The sequence below is a fragment of the Homo sapiens genome, chromosome 8, assembly GCF_000001405.40.
Source record: "Homo sapiens chromosome 8, GRCh38.p14 Primary Assembly".
Lineage (NCBI taxonomy): Eukaryota > Metazoa > Chordata > Mammalia > Primates > Hominidae > Homo > Homo sapiens.
In genome coordinates, this window is record NC_000008.11 from 10,942,585 (window position 1) to 10,963,323 (window position 20,739).

Consider the following 20,739-nt stretch of genomic DNA (forward strand, 5'->3'; position numbering starts at 1 on the left):
CACCTCAGAGAGGACAGCAGGAGCCCTCAAATTACGAAGTAAGCACTATGTGAGCAGATCCAGGTGTTCCAAATTCAGCGCCACGCTGCCCCCATTATTGAGAACAGGGCTAAGCTAGTTGCCGCCAAAGCACTCGCGAGCTCACTGATGCCCCAACTTGCCAATCACCCCTGCCTTCCCTCCGCCCTGTTCACGCTACAACCCCTTCCCTTATCCCATGCCTAGCTTATTTTGGAGTCCTGACTTGCAGCCACAGCAAAGCTTTTGAGACATTGCAAGATCGCATTCTTGCCTGACGCATCCTTCTGAGGGTGGAACAGTTGCCTCCTTGTTTGTCCTTTCCATGTCTGACCACATCCCAGGGCTGCAAGGATCTAGGGCCAGGTGGCCACATGCAGTGGCTGCAGGAGAAAATGGCTCAAAGGAGGGGCCAGGAAGGCTTCAGGACCATAGGCTGCATGGCCCAGGTAGGCACCGTACCCATCTGGGGCTCTTCTACCTGCCTGCCATTCACTCTGCCCAGGTCAGAGCCTTAGTGGCTGCTTCCTGGGATCATAGCTCAGGAGCAGGCTGCAGGACAGAGCAAAAGGCCTTGGCACCCTTCCATACCATTCGCAGATCTCAGGAGCATCACTGTCTGAGTTGTCACAGACAGGACAGGGTACAGCCTGTAAGCCTTTGCCAGGCAAACAGGCAGTTACTATGATGAGCAGTCCCATTTGACAGATGAGGAAGCTGAGGCTAAGCTACATTAACTAACCTGGGTGGCCTCCATTGCCTCTGCACCCTGGATTTCAGTCTCCCATGGTTGACTCCGACCTGCCTTCTCGCCTGTTCCCCACACCTGCTCCTGCCCTCCAGCCACATCCATGGCTCTCCATCCCCAGACCTTCCTAAGGGTGCCCCTCTCTGTATCTGCTCCTGCTGTCCCCTCTGCCTGGAGATCCATCCCTGTGTAGGGCCAAGCTCCCCGCCACATGCCTGCTCCTTGACCTGGTGAAATTCCACCCCTCGCTCGTCCTCCCGTAGCTACCATTTCTGTACCAGGCACAATGGAAGTGCTCTGCATCTATCAACTCATCTAAGCCTCCAGAAAGCCTTACGATCGTCCTCAGATGAAGAGACCAAAGCAAGAGGTTGTGGATGCCAGGGGTTCATACCCAGGTGGTTGACTCGAGAGGGAGTGCTTTTACGCCAGGGCACTATGCTCTCCTGCTCTCTTTCTCATTCCCTCCCCTTCTCATTCACTCCTGTCCACATCCCTACGAATGAGATCATCTGCGAGCCCCATTTTACAGATGAGGACACCTTGAGGATCAGGGAGTTCAATGGCCCTGCTAAAGCCAGGCGGAAGTCTCCCCCTGCCCGGATGTGGTGCTTGCCTCTGTTTCCCACCCCTGGAGGCCTCTCTCCTCCAATATCCGAGCTCTCCTTACCCCCGACCCTGCACCCAGTCCCTTAGGAAGAGAGAAGCCTCTCCAGCTAGATTTTAACCTCCAGGAGGGGCATCCATATACCCAGCGCCCCCCAGCCCACCACGGTAACATCCAATCAGAGTGCACTAAACTGAGTTTGGCCCTGGCTCTGATGACTCTGATGGAAGCTGGTCTCCTTCGACCAAGAGCTGCCTGTAACCCTAGCTTCAAATACATGAACTAGATGTTCCCAAAGGTAGATGACAAGGGCAGCAGCTAAATTCAAGCAGGAAAGATTTAAGTTGAACACAAGAAAGAACTTAGTGACCAGCACAGCTGGCTGAACCCACAACGAGACAGGTTTCCTGCCACTCCCTGGACGGTTTAAGAAAACAGAAACAAGCCTGTCAGATGCTCCCAGCACACAGAAGGCAAGGGTTGGACCCACTGACCTTTCGAAAATCCTCTCCACTCCAGCCATTCACCACACGGCAGGGCAGGGTGCCCCACACCCACACACAAATCCCACTTTCAGACTCCCTCAGGACCACTCAAAGGCAAGGTCTGGCAGCTCAAAGGGCCTGCAGAAATAGTGCACCCATGTAGTCGCGACCAGGGCCACAGACCTCTGGTTCATAGGCTCTGAGTATGAGAACAGACTCTAGAACCTTCCACAGCCTGGCTGGCTCCGAGAAACTTCTATGCTCCCCTCCACCCTGCACACACCCTGCCCCCAACATACCCTAGAGCAGAGATGCCTTCTGTACAAGGAAAAGGTGGGGGCCCAGCTGCCAACCCAGCCCCTGAGAGCACATGAAATCAGAGCTATTTTTAGCCCTTCTTTCCAGCAACTCTGACATCAGCTGAACAATGGTGGTGGGCTCAGGGTGCGTGTCTGAGAACGCAGGGATGAAATGGCATTTCTTTCCAGGGTCCCAGGGGACATGGCAGAGGAAAGCACCCTGAGGCTTCTGGGAACAGAGGCAGAATGCGGTAGATGTCGCCATGCAGTCTTTCTGGATGTAGGGTCAAGCTCGAGGGTGACTTCTGTAAACATCCCAGGGCTCGGGAGAGCATTGCCTGGGTGAAACTGGCTCCACCCCACGCCACCCAGCCTCATTTCCCCACCAGCAAGTAGGGCTCAGGCCACCAGGGCCTTCTCCAAGACGTTGCAAAAAACTTGATTAAAAAGGCCAAAATGCTGTTGCGCACGGTGGCTCATACCTGCAGTCCCAGCACTTTGGGAGGCCAAGGCAGGCGGATCACACGAGGTCGGGAGTTCGACACCAGCCTGGTCAACATGGTGAAACCCTGTCTCTACTAAAACTACAAAAATTAGCTGGGCATGGTGGTGCACACTTACAATCCCAGCTAACTGGGTGGTTGAGGCAGGATAATTGCTTGAACTCGGGAGGTGGAAGTTGGAATGAGCCGAGATGGCGCCACTGCACTCCAGCCTGGACAACACAGTGAGACTCCATCTCTAAATAAATAAATAAAAATGAAAAGACCAAAATGCCTTGGCAAACCCATGTATTGGAGAAATGTGGGTTTCCCTTTGTTTCCCCATCTAAGCTCCCAGAAGGACAGAGACCAAGGTTTTGGTTTTTTGTTTATCTTTATATCTCTGATATGAGGCACACGACCTGGTACTTACGGGCATTTGATTTTCTCTAATGAATGAATGAACACATTGGGCGACTTCTTAATAAAATCCTTGAACTCTGGAAAGTTCATATGTCTCTATTCCAAGCCCCCAGGGCAAGGGTACGCATAGCCCTTCCCTTCTCCAGGCTCTGGCCTAGCGCCGCGTCTCTGCTGGGGAACCCGAGAGCTGGGTGGTGTGCAGAGCAGCTCATGGGAACTCCCAGCTCTGCTCCTCCCTTCCCTCTCCTGTCCCCAAGCCTCACTCTCCAGCCCAGCCTAAGTCCCCAGCCCGGAGTGAATATGGGGACTATATTTGATTCCTCTCTAGCCCCCACGCAGTCTTTCCAACCAAGCAAGACAAGCCCCTTGCTGGTGGCGCCCTGTGCTTTTCAGCGTGGAGTTGTGACCGCTGCCATGCCCGTGATGGGAAGGCCACTTTGACCTCACTCAAATTAGAGCTAAAGACCTCCTGACCACACACACCTCCCTGTGTCACTCTGCCTGCAGGTTTCTCACAATCTGCCGGGACCCAAGTAGCCTATTTGCACACAGGTTGCCCATGGGGAATGGGGGTGAGATCAGCTCTGCCCACAGGAGGGAAACACGAATAGCCGATCCAAGCACTTCACAGCTATGAGAAAGGACCCCCGACCCAAAGTGAAGTCACCCACACTCCACCGGGGGCTTTGAATCGTGTAATGGACACGTGCACTTGAGCAGGCCGCAGAGCCCACCCGGGGCAGTGAACGTGCTTGTACCTTTGTGTAAGCCTCGGGTGCAGGGTGTGGCTGAAACACTCTAGTGTCCTTTTTCGGCCCATAGTGGGCTTATCATTAATGAATTTATCTAAAACACTAAGGAGGTTCTTCATCCACCCCTCCCACCCCTGGGGGTGGCGTGTCCTGCGGTTTTCCCTCCCCACGGGCTATGCTGTCCCACAATCTGCCCGAAACATGCCCCTTTATGACATTCCTGAGCACTCTACTGCAGTGATCCAAACCCCTCTCAGTCGTATTCAAGCACTCAGCAGACATAATTGAGCTCCTACTGCATGCCAGGCACTGGGGTAGGCACAGGGGACCCAGCATGGTCCCTGCCCTCATGCTGTTCACAGACCAGTGGAGGAGACACGCCTCAGGAGCTGGCAACCAGGTTGGAACAGCAGGAAAGGCTTCTAATTCCATTGCTAGGCATGAGATATTTCTGTCAGAGGCACTGGAGCTGAGTGCTCAAGGATGGGGGAGAGTTCACCAAGCAGCTAAGGGAAAGAGGGTGCTCCAGGTAGACAGTTCCAGAGGGTCAAAATCCCCCAGGTTTGCGTGGGGACAGAGAGGAAGGAATAAGGGGAGGCCAGGCTGGACAGAAAGGGCCTTGGGAGCACAGATGCATGCAGGAGGCAGGCATGGTGAGGATCGGATGACATATCAGGAGGCTCACTCTGGCTGCAGCTAAGGAGACGGGTTGGAGCGGAAGACACAGTAGTCCCAGTGACTACGAGTGAGGAGAGCTTGCTCCATGGTGGTAATGCTGGCAAGGGGGAAATCATAGCTCTCAGTGGCAGAGGAAAAGAGAGAAAATGAAGACACGTCTGAGATTTGGTTTGGTTGACCAGAAGAATGGTGTTGCCATTCACCGGGATGAACCGAAAAGGAGAGCAAAGGTTTGGGAGTGAGATACCTGGGGAACGTCCAGGCCAGGAGCCCATGTGCGTGTCTCTATGAAGCACAAGATGACAATCCAGGCTGGAGATGCAGACAGTGGAGTTGAGGAAGCACAGATGGCAAATCTGGGGGCATGGTTGGGGTCACCCTGGGGGATCGAGGGAGAGCAGCCCAGGATGGAGCCCTGAAAACACCATTGCTTAGCTTCCATGGAAGAGGAAGGTCAGAAAGGACCGAGAGGGCCCTGGTGATCAGGGAAGAGAAGCACCACTTATCCACACCCAAAGAAGGAGGAGAAAGACAGCACAGTGTAGCCCCCGGGGCCCTGGACCCAAGTATTGGCAAAGGTGATCTTTCATTCACCTTCTAAGATGTTTTGCCTGCATCTTCTCCCAACCTTCAGTTTTTGAGGCTGAAAAGTCCCAGTCTTTTCATCCAGTCCCTTGAGAATAGCCCACCGCCAGGGGAACTGTGGATCCCTTTGCTCTGGGCTTTGCTCAGTTCTTCCCTCATTCTGGGAGCCAGGAGGGCTTTGGGGATGTGATCACACAGGTGTAGGGACCCAAGAGCCAAGGGAAGAGCATTCCTGGGCGATCTTTTCAGCTCTGGGCTCAAATGCTCCCTACCTTCCAGGACGAAGTGGCTGTCAGGCCTGGGGTTGGGTAAGCAATGCCTTTCAAAGTCGTGTAGCGAAGTCCAGGGTGCAGGGTGGGTTAGGGGAGAGGTGACTGCAGAACAGCCACCTTTCCCTCAGAGAAGGGGACTCAGGATATAACAGCGGCTGCCATTTGTATGCCAGGCACCACCAAAATATCTCACTGGTTCCTCGCAACAACCCTATGAGGTAAAACCAGTATCCCAGCTACGGGTGAAGAGGCTGGGCTTCAGAGAGGTTTGGAAGCTTTCCCAAAGTCACACAGCAAAAGAACTAGAGCACTGGGATTTGGGCTCAGGTCCGTCCCCATCCAGCAGATGGACCCTCTCCCTCAGCGTCCTGCTGTCCCTCATCCCATGCAGCTGTTGGTCCTGTGGAAGATGCCCAGCACCGCATCTGCTGTGTGTGCTGAGACTTAGGCTCTTGAAACCTCTGCCAGCTGAGAAGGCTGCTATGTTCTGCTGCCCCCTGCCCTGGCTGAGTGGCCTCAGGAAGCTCTTCCCCTCTGTTTCCTTATGAGTGAGATGAGCGGGGAAGACCAGGTGAGCTCTCAGGCCCTGGAAGCTGACTCTGCAGACCTTGTAGGGCCTGGTCGGCTGCCCAGAGATCTTTCCACCTCAGTAGCTACCCTACAGGACATGGTCTATCCTTGCAGGACTTGGTCTGTCCCGTCCTCTAGCACCTCCCACCCCGCAGGACCCGGTCTGTCCTCTCCTATAGCACCCCCTGCCAGCTGGCTGCTTTCCCATGGGGAAGGCCCCGCACTCCCACCCCGGCGTGTAGCTGTGGCTTATCAAGCCCTCCTTGTATCCGTGTCCACCAGCCCCATTCTGGGGAGACGTGCTCATCTGTGTTGCTTCCTGGGGCCTCCCTGGGAAACAGGCTCAAAATAGAAGATGGCATTTACTGGAGCAGGCACAGCACCACCCAGGGTGGCCAGTGACATGTCCACATGTTAGAGCCCAAATCTTCAGGTGATCGTCAATTCCCAGCCCTGCCCTGGGCGGTGCAGCCTCTCGGGAGGCTCCTCAAAGTCAGACCCAGGGCAGGGCAGCAAAGGCCACATCTCCACTGAGTGAGCCTCACACTCACGCTGTCCTCTCCTGTCAATGACTCCACATGCTGCTGGAAACACCCTGGGAGTCCGGGGTGAGCCCTGGCTGGAGGAGCCTGGGCCCCGGGGCTGCCTCTGCAGGGGCCGGCTCTAGGGCCTGGAGCAAATCACCCCCCTACTCCCGCTTCCAGCCTCTCCCTCCATAAGATAAAGAGCGGAACAACCGTTTCTAAGTCCCTTCCATGCCTTGAGTCTTACGGGCCAGCTTAGTGGACTCTCCATAACTGCCCTGCAGGGAGAAGGCCTGCCCTTGGTGACCCAGCATGGGCCCCCTTCATCTGGGGTGCAGCAGCACCGTGGATGAGGATCTGGGAGGCAGGCAAGCCCCTTAAAGACTTGGGCAGGATGCAGAGCAGGGGCCAGCCGCACCACAGAGCCAGGGCTGGAGCTCCCCAGGGCTCTGAGCTCTCGCTCTGTAGCCAGGAAGGCACACCTGTTCCTAGAACAGTCACCTGAAAAGAGGGCAGGGAGGCCTCCGATGTGCCAGGCACGGAGCCAGACACTCGAGGCTAGCGGGGTACACCGTTAGTGCCCTAACAGGGGAATGTGACTGAAGGCAGTATGTCTATTGTTATCCCCATTTTATAATGGGAAAACAGGCGAGCACCATTAAGTAACTCATCCAAGGACACAAAGTCAAGGACCGGTGCCTACAGACTATGCTGTGCCCAAAGCATGCGGAGCTCTGCGGGCAGAGGAGGGAACTCCTAGCCCAAGTTGGGTGGGGGAGGGTACGAGGAAGATTCCAGGAGGAGGTGAATCTCAGCAGCATCTCTGAGCTGGAGCAAGAGCCCACTTCCACAGGCCAGGAGTCCCTTTCCCAGCCCGGCCTGTCTTGACTCAGGGGTCTGCAGGCTGTGCTCACAGCTCCTCCAACATGGCCCTCTCCTGGCTCCTCTGCATGAAAAAGAACCCACAGGGCTGTAGCTGGAAGCTTTCTGAGGTCAGAAACTGAGCATCCTTGCCCCTCCACCCTTCCTGGCCCAGGAATGCATGCACACGTGACACATGGCAGGATGGATGGAAGCAGGGGTGGCTGAGACCAGAAGAGGTCACAGCAGAGAGGGAGGGGCAGCTTCCCAACAGGTGGGGGTGGGACTCCACCCTGTCGCAGGCCAGCAGCCCTCACCTCCTGCTGCCATTACCACCTGGCCAATGGATAGTGCAGGGGGCTCCTCTGTGCTCCCAGCCCCCGGCCTCCTCTAGGTCCCTGCTGAAGCCAGTGTGGTGCAGGCCCAAGCTCAGAAGGGCCTCATCTTCCCAGGGAGCACAAGCTCTTTGTAGACACTGCTAGAAGCAGTGCACACCCTCCCTGTGCCAGGGCTGGGGGAGAGTGACTGTGGCAGAGATCACGGGTCCAGGCCTTTCCTGTCATTCCCACTGACCAGCCCCGAGATGGCAAGAACCACATCAGCATCTTGAGCCTCAGTCACCTCGTTCATAAAGTGGGAACAAGGGTCTCTTGTTGGATTCTCTCTTGACTTCCAGCAGGTGCAAATGAAGAAAGGGATGTGTCCCCACAACAGTTTTAGACTGAAAACCCCTGACAAGAACAGAAAACCTAGTCTCCTAGACAGAGAATGCTTAATAATTCATTCGTTCATACCTCAACACATTCCGAAAAGAACTTGAGATGGCGAGAACATACAATCCAGTTGGCAAGCACCACAGGCCCTTGGCTTGCTGGCCAAACCTTCGCCTCCCAAGGTCATCCAGGAGTAAGTGTCGAACACTTTCCAGGTCAGGCAGCTTGCTAGAAGTTTCTCAGATGCCATCCTATCAAAGCCTCACAATTGCCCATTGCACAGGTACTGTCACTACATTTTTCTACACATGAGAAGCCTGAGGTGCAGAGACGGCGAGTTACTTGCCCAAGGCCACACAGCAAGGATGGGGAGTGGGGATTTCCATCCAGGACTGACTGTGGCCCCAGAACCTCAGCAGCATGCCCTGACATCTTCCTGTGCTTTCCAAATTGTCAAGCGCCAGACGGAGTCACCCATCCATCCACGACCCCAGGGCTGCTGTTCTGGGCCAGTCCCTTGCAGCAGGTGCCCAGGAAGTCTGGAGGCCACAGCACCCCAGGTCCCTGCCCTTGGAACTCAGTTTCCAGGCAGAGGTAGACAGTGTTCAAATGAGCAAATAGTGATGGAAACTCATGCTGGGGGGACAAGGGCTGTGGGGAAAATAAAACAGAGGGATAGAAAAGTGTGTGTGTGTGTGGGGGGGGGGGGCCCCCACAGTGGTGACAGGGGAACGCACACCAGAATGGGACAAGGTGCTGAGCGACGCATGGGTAACAGCCAGGCTGCAGCTCAGAGAGGGGAATGGGCTTGCAGTGGAACAGCGAGAAGGCTGGGAAGGTGTGAGTGAAGACAGAATCACCGGCGGCTGCATCGGGAAGAACTTGGTTTTAGTCCCAAACAGCAGCAGTGGCTACCAGTCTGTTTCACACTGCGTGGCTTCTTTCTGATCTCGCCCTCTTACACAGGCCCTGCACTTCCCCGGACTTCAGGGTCTTCACCTGCAGAATGGGAAGGCTGGTCCATGACCTAACGGCCCATCATTCTATTCTGCTGCAGAGTCTCATCTTCCCCTGGGAGTGGGGATCTGGGAGGCGCTGCCTCTTCTGAGTAGGCTGCAGCACAGCAGGTGTGAAGCAGGGCAGGCAGAAGCCACCCCAGCTGCATGTCAGTGGCCTTGGGAGAGGGAGAAACGAGGTTTTCCTCCTGACCTGGCCTGAGCTGGGAGTGGGGAGCCCGGACCAAGGAGGGGGCAGGGGTGGGAGCTGTTATGGGGATGCCAGGTCGGGAAGAGGCCCCTGCAGAAGGGCTGGGCTGAGTGGGGACGACAGGAGAACCAAGAGGCCACAGCCAGCCCCCTGCCCTCCTCTAGCTGGCTGAGAAAAAGCCAGGATCAGCAGGGGAAATCGTGGGCCAGTGGGTAGGGGAGTGGGAAGGAGAAGGGCCAGCTATAAAGGGCACATGCAGCACAGGTCCACGGCATGACCTCCTGCAGCCCTCCTGCCCCTCTCCAGGCTTTTTCAAAGCCCCCATCCCCATCCCAGGCCTCAGCCCACCTGCCTCAGAGGCTGCCTCAAAGCCCCTGCCCAGGAAGGGGACCCAAGTTCACCCACAGGCCTCCCCGTGACGTTCCCGCTCTGAAGTGATTGGGTAATGGGGTAGTGACCTGGGAGGCAGCCAGTCAGGGTAGAAAGAGGCCCACTTACCACCCACATCATCCATGAGCTTGCTCATTGTATGCACAGTCCATAAACCCCCAACAAACACTAATACAGTCAGTACGTCAGAACCTCTCATATCTTTAGCATCCTGTGATGTGCTGAACTGTTATTTCCTTGCATTATTATATTTGTTTTTTCTTTTCTTTTGTTTGAGACAGGGTCTCATTCTGTTGCCCTGGCTGAAGTGCAGGGGCAAGATCACAGCTCACTGCAGCCTCGAACTTTTGAGCTCAAGCAATCCTCCCATCTCAGCCTCCCCCGTACCTGGGACCACAGACACGTGCCACCATGCCTGGCTAATTTTCTTTATTTTTTGTAGAGACGGTTATACAGTTTGAATGTGTATCCTTGCCCAAATCTCATGTTGAAATGTAGTCCCCAGTGCTGGAGGTGGGGCCTGGTGGGAGGTGTTTGGATCACGGGGGCGGATCCTTCATGAATGAACCTGAGCCTCCTCTTAGCACAGGGCTCCCAACCCCCGGGCCATGGACAGGTACTGGTCTGTGGCCTGTTAGGAACCCAGCTGCACAGCAGGAGGTGAGTGGCAGGCGAGGAAGCATTACCACCTGAGCTCTGCCTCCTGCCAGATCAGTGGCGGCATTAGATTCCCACAGGACTGTAAACCCTGTTGTGAACTGTGCCTGCGAGGGATCTAGGCTGCGCGCTCCTTATGAGAATCTAATGCATGATGATCTGTCACTGTCTCCATCACCTCCAGATGGGACCATCTAGTTGTAGGAAAACAAGCCCAGGGCTCCCACTGATTCTGCACTGTGGTGAGTTGTATGACTATTTCATTATACATTACAATGTAATAATAGTAGAAATAAAGTGTACAATCAATGTAATACTCATCCTGAAACCATCCTCCCTCCTAGTCTGTGGAAAAATTATCTTCCATGAAACTGGTCCCTGGTGCCAAAAAGGTTGGGGATTGCTGGTTTAGCACCATCTTCCTTGGTGCTCTCCTCGAGAGAGTGAGTGAATTCTCTGGAGATCTGGTTGTTTAAAAGTGTGTGGCACCTTCTTTCTCTTGCTCCTGCTCCCACCATCTGAGATGCCTGCTCCCCCTTGGCCTTCCACCATGACTGTAAGCTTCTGAGGCCTCCCTAGAAGCAAATGCCCATGTTATGCCTCCTGTACAGCCTGTAGAACTGTGAGCCAATTAAATCTCTTTTCTTAATAAATTACCTAGTCTCAGGTATTTCATCATAGCAATGCAAGAATGACCTAACACAGACGGGGTCTTGCCATGTTGCCCAGCCCTACATTATTATATTTGAATCTGCAACAATTCAGTGGATCTGGCACTATTCATCTTATTTTACAAGTGTGGGAAGAATCTAGATAATAGCTGTATTTATTTACCCCTTTAAGATGTATAATTCACCGGTTTCAGTACTTCCACAGAGTTGTGCAACCATCGCCACCATCTAGTCCCAGAACATTTGCATTACCCCCAAAAGAAATCCTGGACTCACAAGCAGCTGCTACCTGTTCTTCCATTCCACCACAGCCTCTGGCAAGTGCTAGTCTACTTTCTGTCTCTATGGATTAGCCTATTCTGGACATTTCATACAAATGGAATCATGCAATATATGGCCTTTTGTGGCTGGCTTCTTTCACTTAGCATGTTTCAAGTTTCAGCCACAGTGTAGCATGCATCAGTACTTCATTCCTTTCTATTGTTGAGTAATGTTCCATTATATGTATATACCACATTTTGTTTATCACATTCATCAGTTGATAGACATTTGAGTTGTTTCCACTTTTTGGCTATTATGAGTAATGCTGCTATAAACATTCATCTACAAATTTTCATATGGACATATGTTTTCAATTCTCTTGGGTATATACATGGTAGTGGAACTGCTGGGTCACATGGTAACTTTATGTTTAACTTTTTGGAGGAACCAGCAAGTTGTTTTTCATCGTGGCTGCACCATTTTGTATTCCCACAAACAATGCAATGAGCGTTCCAATTTCTGCACATCCTTGTCAACACTTGTTATTGTCTTTTTGTTTTTAGCCATCCAAGTGGGTGTGACGTGGTATCACAGTGTGGTTTTGATTTGTATTTCCCTAAAGATTAATGATGTTCAGTGTCTTTTCATGTGCTTAGTGGCCATTTATATATCTCCTTTGAAGAAATGTCTATTGAAATCTTTTGTCCATTTATTAATTGGGTTTTCTCTTTATTATTGAGTAGGAGTTCTCTGTTTATTCTGGATACAAGTCCTTAATCAAACACATGATTTACACATATTTTCTCTCATTCTATGGGTTGTCTTTTCACTTTCCTGATGGTGTCCTCTGAAGCACAGAAATTTTTAATTTTGATGAAGTCTTATCTGTCCATGTTTTCTTTTGTCATTTGTGCTTTTGGTGTCATATCTAGGAAGGCTTTGCCTAATCCAAAGTCATGAAGGTTTACGCCTATGTTTTCTTCTAAGAGTTGTATAGTTTTAGCTTTAACATTTAGGTCTATGATGATTTTGACTTGTTTTTTTTTGTATGATGTAAGGTAAGGGTCTAACTTCATTCTCTTTTTTTTTTTTTTTTTTTTAGACAGAGTTTCACTCTTTTCTCCCAGGCTGAAGTGCAGTGGTGCAATCTTGGCTCACTGCAATCTTTGCCTCCTGGGTTCAAGTGATTCTCCAGCCTCAGTCTCCCGAGTAGCTAGGATTACAGGCATGTGCCACCATGCCCAGCTAATTTTTGTATTTTTAGTAGAGATGGGGTTTCACCATGTTGGCCAGGTTGGTCTTGAACTCCTGACCTCAAGTGATCCGTCAGCCTTGGCCTCCCAAAGTGCTGGGATTACAGGTGTGAGCCACTGCACCCAGCCCCCGGCTTCATTCTTTTGCATGTGGATATCTACTTGTGATTATGGCAATGCAAGAACAGCCTACAATGATTGCTGCTCACTGCAGTCTTGACCTCCCAGGCTCAAGAAATCCTCCCACCTCAGCCTCCTGAATAAGTGGGATTATAGGTGTGTGCCGACATGCCCAGCTAATTTTCTTATTTTTTTATTTTTTGTACAGACAAAGTGTCACTATGTTATCCAGGCTAGCCTTGAACTTTTGGGCTCTTGTGATCCCCCCATGTAGGCCTCCCAAAGTGCTAGAATTGCAGGGGCTCACCACCACATCCAGCCTCTCTGCCTTTTCAAGGTAACATTTCTGCAGTGAGGACTCTAAGTCAGATATGGGTCTAAGTGGGTCGTATGTATTAACTCATGTAACATTATTCTTCATAGTCCCATTTTACAGATGAAGAAACTGAGGCAAGTAGTTTGCCTAAGGTCACACAAGTAGTAGACAGCAGAGCTGGGAGGTGAACCCAAGCTATGTGGTTCTGTTTTCCCTGCCAGACACCCACAGAGATGCCAGAAACATGGGAATGAGCTAGCCTGAGTCTCCCCTTTCTAGAGAAGAAGTTGGTGTGTAGAGAAACTTGTCTGAGGCTCACTGTAACAGAGGTAGGATGAGATCCAGGCCCACACTGGACACTTCCTTTTCCCATGCAGCCCTGGGTATTTATTTCAATGTCATGTTGCCTTGACAAAATGCTGAGAGGGAAGCTGTGGCCATGGGGCGATTCCTTGTTGCCCTGGGCTTCAGGGCCCTGAGTGGCTGCTCGGTGAGAGGGTGAGGGCAAGACAACAGAAAGATGGAGAAGAATGGGCAGGAACCCAGGTCTTCCCTTTACAAAGGAAGAAGGCTGAGCCCTGAGAGGGATGTGCCTGCCCAGTGCTCCTGGCTCCCTAGCCTTCGTTTCTCCTGCCACCTTGCTGCTCCCCTTCACAGGTCCTCTCCTGGGGGCCAGTGCTGCCAGGAGGAAGTAGGCAGAAAGGAGCTGGGACCCTCTCTTCCTCTTACAGTTTTCTAGGGCTGATCTTCAAAAGTGAATTTGCGGAGCCTTCCTCTGTGGCCTCCCTCACTCCGGTTGTCATCACGGTCATTTCATTTCCTTTACTTTCTGCCCATCTGAAAGGCGCCCCGGGATGTGGTGGGGGTGGACACTAGTGGCTTGCCAGGCGTCTATCCCTGGGCCCTGGAGACCCATCTGCAGGATCTGCCCAACACCCCATACAAAGCAGGCACTGCACCTACCCCTTAGAGAGGTTCCCCAAGAAGGCCAAGAGTTTCCCTGAGGCTGGAGAGGATGAAGGGCCCAGGCCTCAACTTGGGAGCTCAGCCAATTATCGACAGAGAGGACAGCGCTAAGCATGGCACTCAGATACCACTGGAAAGACAGCTCAGGGCCAAATCCAGGAGTCAGGAGTCTACAGCCCTCATGGGGCTTTCCGAGAGTGCCAGCATCATCATTGCCTTTAGGAGAACAGCGGATGTCAAAGGGAAGCATCGTGCCAATGGTTTCAAAGGGCTGGAGCCAATAATCACAGCACAGTGACCGGCTGCCCCTTTGCACCTCTGCTGTGGCCAGTGAGGACAGAAGGGGATTGAACTAGAAACTGGGATTAATCTGTCTTCAGCTTCTCAGATACAGGTAAGACCTCTCTCCTCTTCTGGGCTTCAAAACCCTAAAGGTGAGAGCTTCCTTAAAATGTGTACCCTGGCACCTTGCTTTTCTTACCCTAGTCCTGGCCTTGTCCATAACTCAGTATTTTTTTCTTTTTTTTGAGATGGAGTCTTGCTGTGTCACCCAGGCTTGAGTGCAGTGGTGTGATCTTGGATTGCTACAACCTCTGCCTCCTGGGTTCAAGCAATTCTCAGGCTTCAGCCTCCCGAGTAGCTGGGATTACAGGCACGTGCCACCATGCCCGTTTAATTTTTGTATTTTTAGTACAGATTGGGTTTCACCATGTGGGCCAGGCTGGTTTTGAACTCCTGACCTCAGATCATCCACCAGCTTCGGCCTCCTGAAATGCTGGGATTCCAGGCAGGAGCCACCTTGCCCAGCCATAACTCAGTCTTCAACCTGCCCCATCCAAGCTGTGTTCCAATCAGGAAAGCACAGAAAGGCCTTTTCCTAGGCAACGGATTCAGGCACAGCAGGTGGATGCAAGTACAGTCTACTCCAGGCGTGTCACCATTGGAACACCCCATTCCCTTCCTTCAGGCCCTTCTACTCCCTGGGGTCCACAGAGCTCAGGGAGCCTCTTGTGGCCCATGGTGTGCCCCTCTCCCCACCTGCTCCCTCAGCAATGACAAGATGCAGTGACTGGGGATGATACATCAATGTCTTGCAGGCTCCCAGGAGACAGATAGGCAGACCCTGGGATGCTGATGGCGCAGTCACCAACAGGAAGGAAAATGAGAGGAGACTGCAGGGCAGATGGAGCTTCCGCCTGCCAAGAGCCGCTGATGCCCAGTCTCACTCTGGGCAGCATGGCCCCATCCCTCCTGGCCATCCAGGAGTGAGGAATGGGGCTCACCAATGGGGGACCTCTCCTCATCCCAGGATAGGCCTCTCCATCCCTCCTCAGAACAAGCGAAACTGGGGAGTGGGGAAATCCACACAGATCATGTTGGTTTGGGTCCAGAAACTTGAACTAAACCAAGTTAGGATCCAACAACAATATCGAATCTAAAAATGATCCCCAATGTGATTTTTTAAAAACTGAATCAAAGTGTTAAAAAAAAAAACTTGGTGTACTATAGTTAGATTTGTAATTAAACTTTGGTACTTTCTAAATCTACTGAACTGAAAGGAAAAAGAAACCCACGTGATCTGGAAAGTGGCTTGGCCTACTTTAGTGTTGTGTGATCTTCAGTAAGTCACTTGCCCTCTCTGGGCCTCAGTTTCCCTCACTTGTGTCAGACTGGAAAATCTGAACAGTTCTCATTGCTGTTTACCTAATCCCTGAATCTCAAAATAGTCTTCAAATGGACTCTGCCAGCCCTTCCATGAGATGCAAGTTCCCGTTTGGATGGCAACCAAGCCAAGTCATCTGCAGAAGGAACGTTCTCTGTGTGCCATCTGTGAAGAGCCTGGGAAACAGAGGCCTGAGTGCTGGGGCTTGGGGAGCATGTGAGTCTTTAGAGCCGGCACTAATGCGATTATGGGATTAGAATGTTCATCTTCGTTTTCACTGTGCTTCATTTGGTGAAATCAATAGTGACAATGGGCTGCCCAGTTGGTGCTGCCATTCTCCCAGGAGGGCCCACATCCAGCTACTCAGGGCAGGGGTCATCCTGAGAGCTGGATATCACTGGCAAGGCTAGTGGTTTGGGAGGCTTTCATCACCCGAGACATGGCATGCCAGCACCCATGAGGGAAAGAAGTCAGAAAAGACAGGGTAGAAATGGGTGTGATCACCATGGGAGCCAATATTCCCCTTTTACAGAGGAAGACACAGGCAGGAGCCTGGACTCAGCCTGGGCCGCCCGCTGATGGAGGCAGTGGCCATTTTTGCCTGCAGTTTCTCAACTGTAAAATGGAGCAACTCACTCCTCCTTCTCTGTCCTACAGAGAAACGATGGGCTCATCACTGGATGAGAAAGTACAACTTAGCTTCCAGAACTTCTGCAGAGAGGAAACAGAACAGAAGCCTTAGGAACTATTATTGTCATCACAGTCATTATCCAGCTCTGAGGGAGCAGCAGCAAGGCCTGGATGCTTTATGGTGACAGCGGGTCTCACCTTTTGTGCAAAAGCTACAGCTGCATTTCAACAGGAAGGCATCAAGCCTGAGAACATGGCTTAATCTGCCCACAGACCGGGGGAAACCCTGCAGGGCTTCTGTAACCAGAGTGTGACGCTGACACTCTGAGTTGCGACCACCTCTCCTGGGTCACTTTGGGTGTTGGCTCGCTTTGGGGGTCCCTGGACTGAGCTCATGCACAGATAATGACAGTTCACGCGGCTTTCACTGAACAACTTCTCCTGGTCACCGGATCTCTCCAGTGTCCCTCCCTCCCCACTCTATGGTGAGGCCTGGCCTGGAGACCACAGGAGTGGGAGAGGAACTGAGTCCCCTCGGCTTGCCATGTAGAAAGGGACACTGGTTCTCTGTGACCCACAGGTGGTCACAGAGACCACCTCTGGGCATAGGAGAAATGGGTAGATGTTATAGGGAGACTGGTTTTGGCCAGTATCTTAATCAGCTCTGGTTGCTATAACAAAATACCCCTGGGTGGCTTAAACACTGGATATTTATTTCTCACAATTCTGGAGTCTGGGAAGTCTGAGATGAAGGTGCCAGTGGATTTGGTTCCTGGTGAGGGCTCTCTTCCTACTTGCAGACAGCCACCTTCTTGCTGTGTCCTCACGTGGTGGAGAGAGGGAACAAGCTTGCTGGTGTCTCCTCGTCTTCTTATATGGACACTAATCCGTTGCTGAGGCCCCACCTTCATGACCTCATGTAAACCCTTGATTTCCCAAAGGCCCCACCTAACACCATCCCACTGTGGGTTACCCTTCAATATATGAATTTCACAGGACACAAACATTCTGTCCAGAGCATCCAGTATTGGAAAAGACAGAGGAACAATCCTCTGAGAACAGACACCACCTTGCGCCCTTTCCTCTGGTGTTCCAATGGCAGGAACCCTCTGGGAGGAGTCTGAGAATGGGTGGGAAGTGGTTCTCCTTCCAAACATGAGTTTCTGTGACCAGGGCTGGAACTACGGTGAGGCAATGAAATGCCCAGAGTGCAGGATTTAAGGCAGCACTCACACTCAGGGGTTGCTCCTGGGATTACAAAAGCCTGAAGGTCAGGGGGGGGCCTCCTTAAAATTTGCACCTGGCACCTTGTGTGTCTCACCCTAATCCTGGCCCTGTCCATGACTCAGTCTTCAAACTGCCCCATTAAAGATCTCTTCCAATCAGGAAAACATAAAAAGGTCTTTTCCTAGGCAGTTAGTTCAGACACAGCAGGTGAGTGCAGGTATAGCAGGCAGGTGCAGGTACAGCAGGTGGGTGCAGGTATAGCAGGTGGGTACAGGTATAGCAGGTAGGTGCAGGTATAGCAGGTGGGTGCAGGTATAGCAGGTGGGTCAGGAACAGCAGAGGTACAGTCTACTTCAGGATGTCAAGGGAACTCTCAAGCCCGTTAACCCATAAATATCAGGCACGGTCATAGCGTTACCCTGGCAGATGACTGCCCCAGTCTCCTGGTCAAGATGCATGCTTACTCTGAAGGCCGGGGGAGGAAAATGATTAAAGTAAGAGAGACGGAAGCCTTTCCTTTGATCAGGGAATATTCACACGCCTCCACAAGAAAGGAAGAAATGAAAACTCATCGAATTTCCACTCTAGGTCAGCTGTCTGCCACTTCTGCATAGTTATCTTATTTGATCCTCAACACAGCCCAGCCACAGGGGCATCATTCTCAATTTACAGATAAGGAAACTGAGGCTTTGGGACAAAGGATTTGTCCAGGGTCACGGAGAATCTGAGAATCAGAACCTTAGGTCTGAGACCAAGGCCAGCGCCTCACATTCCCAAGGCAGGAGGTATCATTCCCTCTCACTCCCTCATCTAATCACCCTTTCACTCCTGCAGCACACACAGCGTAAGGGCCTGTGAAGAGGCAGGAACAATTCTAGGAGCTTGGGAGATCGCTTGCATTCCAGTGGGGACTGAGAGAGTTAAAAGTCAACAGCACACAAGTAAACAAACAATAAGAGCCATGAATGAAACAGGGAAGACAGGGAAGACCGGGCTAGACTGGCTAGATGGGGTAGGGCCAGGAGCATTTGTCCTGAACACTGAGTGAGGAGGAACCAGCCAGGCAAAGATCGAGGGGCAGAGGGCACGGGTGCTGGGGTACAAAAGGTGAGTATCGGAGGCATGGCAGGCAGGGACAGAGCATGAGGCAGAGAGAGGGTGGAGGGGAAGGCTGTGAGCGGATGAATCCCAGCAGAAGAAGTTGCATTTTTTTCTAAGTACAAAGGGAAGCCACTGAAAAGATTTAAACAGTGAAGCTGCAAGATCCAATTTACCAATTAAGAAGATCCCTCCGGCTCTAGTGTGCCCACCAGCCGGGACGCTGGAGGCCATGTGGCAGCCAGTTGCTGACTGGCATCATTCCAGGCAAGAGGAGGTGGCGGCTTGAGTGACAGTGGGAGCTGTGAGTCCAGAGACACTGACAACGCTGCAGAATGCCTTTTGGGCAGAGCTTGGGCCTGGCATCCTCAGAGGCTGGCTAGGGGCGGCTGGGGAAATAGGAGTCGGGGTGGAATCACTGAAAGCCAGAACCCAGGCCCAGCCTTGGCTCAGAGTGAACACACAGTCCACACTTGATGAGTACATGAAGAAACCCAAAGAGAAATTCAGGACTATCTTTTTGGGCAGAACCTCCTTCATGTGGTCCCACCCACATGGGTGGCAAACACAGACCCAGCACACCTCCAGCTTCCTGGCAACACTGTGCACGGTCTGAGAGGCAGGCAACTGCAGCCCAGGGAGCTGGAAAAATGAGATTCTGAACTCTGGTTTGCTCCTTTTAGCTTTTTAACATGCAGCCTCCATCGCTTCATTTGCCCACAGTTGTCCAGTTCTTATGCCAGGCAGGAGTGAACCTGCCTTCCGAGGGGAACGTTGCCAGGAGGAAGGGAGCCCGGTGAGAGTGGCTGGTCCTTCCACCACCTGAGAGGCCCAAGAATCATTGTTTCATTGACAATAACGTGGGGCATTTAGTATTCATCCAACACAAACGCATAGCTATTATACACCACCTTTCTGAGAGTAAAAGCTATCCCTTTTATTTGGGGGAAGGGCATGAAAGCACCTTCTCCACTTAAAATGCTGATCTTACTGTGCATTATTCTTTGAAGTACAATGAAAAGTGTCTTGGCCTAATCATGACTTTCCGCGGGGGCGACAGAGTGGGAGGAAATGGCCCCTCCTAGAAGCACACAGGGGACTTATTTTCAATCTTTTTAAAGAAGTAAGAAAATGCAAACCATAAGTAGGTTTAAATGCTTCCCCTAAAACCCCAAAACATAATATTATCATACAATAGAGGTGCTATCAAGTCACATAGTACAACTCTGTTCCCTAACCAGCTTTGGGGGACACCATCGTGCCACATTTCTGAAGCCCCTGACTCGTAGTCCCCATTTGCCATGCTGGGCTGGGAGTCAGGCTGCAGTGAACCCCAAGAGGGAGGTCCCCTGGTGCTCTGAGAGGTAGGACTTGACTTCCTTCTTCCCGGGGCTGCAGCCTAGGGAGGATTTCCGCCAGAAGGCTCAAATGTATTTTTGTTTATTTACGATGTCTTACATCTTTTGGAACTTGTAAGGAAGTTCCAACTTTTGGAACTTGGTTCAATGTTGCTTATCTTCTCTGTTCCATGTTTAGTTTCATATTCTGGTTCATCTGGTTTTTGTTTTGTTTTTTTTTGTTTTTGAGACAGAGTCTCACTCTGTTGTCCAGCCTGGAGTGCAATGGCGTGATCTCAGCTCATTGCAACCTCTGTCTCCCGGGTTCAAGCAATTCTCCTGCCTCAGCCTCCCAAGTAGCTGGGATTACAGGCCCCCGCCACCACACCTGGCTAATTTTATTTTTAGTAGAGATGGGGTCTCACCATATTGGTCAGGCTGGTCTCGAACTCCTGACCTCAGGTAATCCACCCGCCTCGGCCTCCCAAAGTGCTGAGATTACAGGCATGAGCCATCGCACCTGGACTGGTTCATCTGTTTTTGAAGCTGGATAGGATCCCAGTTGTGGCCCCTTTTTGAATCTCTAAATAGTGACTATCTTTTGAGCCTGTCCTTCGATCATTTCTGGTTCCCTGGCTCCTGCCCGGCACCCCTGCAGTCAGCAGACTGAACGCCCAACAGCGCCAGACCAAGCACATCCCGCTTCTCCTCTCTCGGCGCTTCCAGGGGCAGCCAGTTCAGAGTCCAAGCCACAGTCTTGACACAGGCCCCACTTCCCCGCTGGCCTTCTCCACCACAAACTCCTGCTCATGTGGCTGCAGCCACACCGGCAGCTGTCGGCTCTGACTGGCTCTGCCTCAGGGCCTTGGCACTGGCAATCCCCTCTGTTCAAACGTCAGTGTGTCAGCGAGGCCTTTCTCGACCACC

General features: G+C 52.1%; 1 protein-coding gene across 2 annotated transcripts in view, besides 1 other annotated feature; it reads right to left on the reverse strand.

Annotated features, from left to right (window-relative positions):
• Nucleotides 1-20,739, reverse strand: part of XKR6 (XK related 6) — a 305,789-nt gene that overhangs the window by 46,540 nt on the left and 238,510 nt on the right. The gene's annotated exons all lie outside the window — the stretch shown is intronic.
• Nucleotides 18,669-19,168: an enhancer, noted in NCBI's record as "H3K4me1 hESC enhancer chr8:10818763-10819262 (GRCh37/hg19 assembly coordinates)". NCBI's record gives its function as "activates a minimal SCP1, AML or CMV promoter by ChIP-STARR-seq in primed H9 embryonic stem cells {active_cell/tissue: H9 hESC(primed)}" and the evidence as "EXISTENCE:reporter gene assay evidence [ECO:0000049][PMID:30033119]".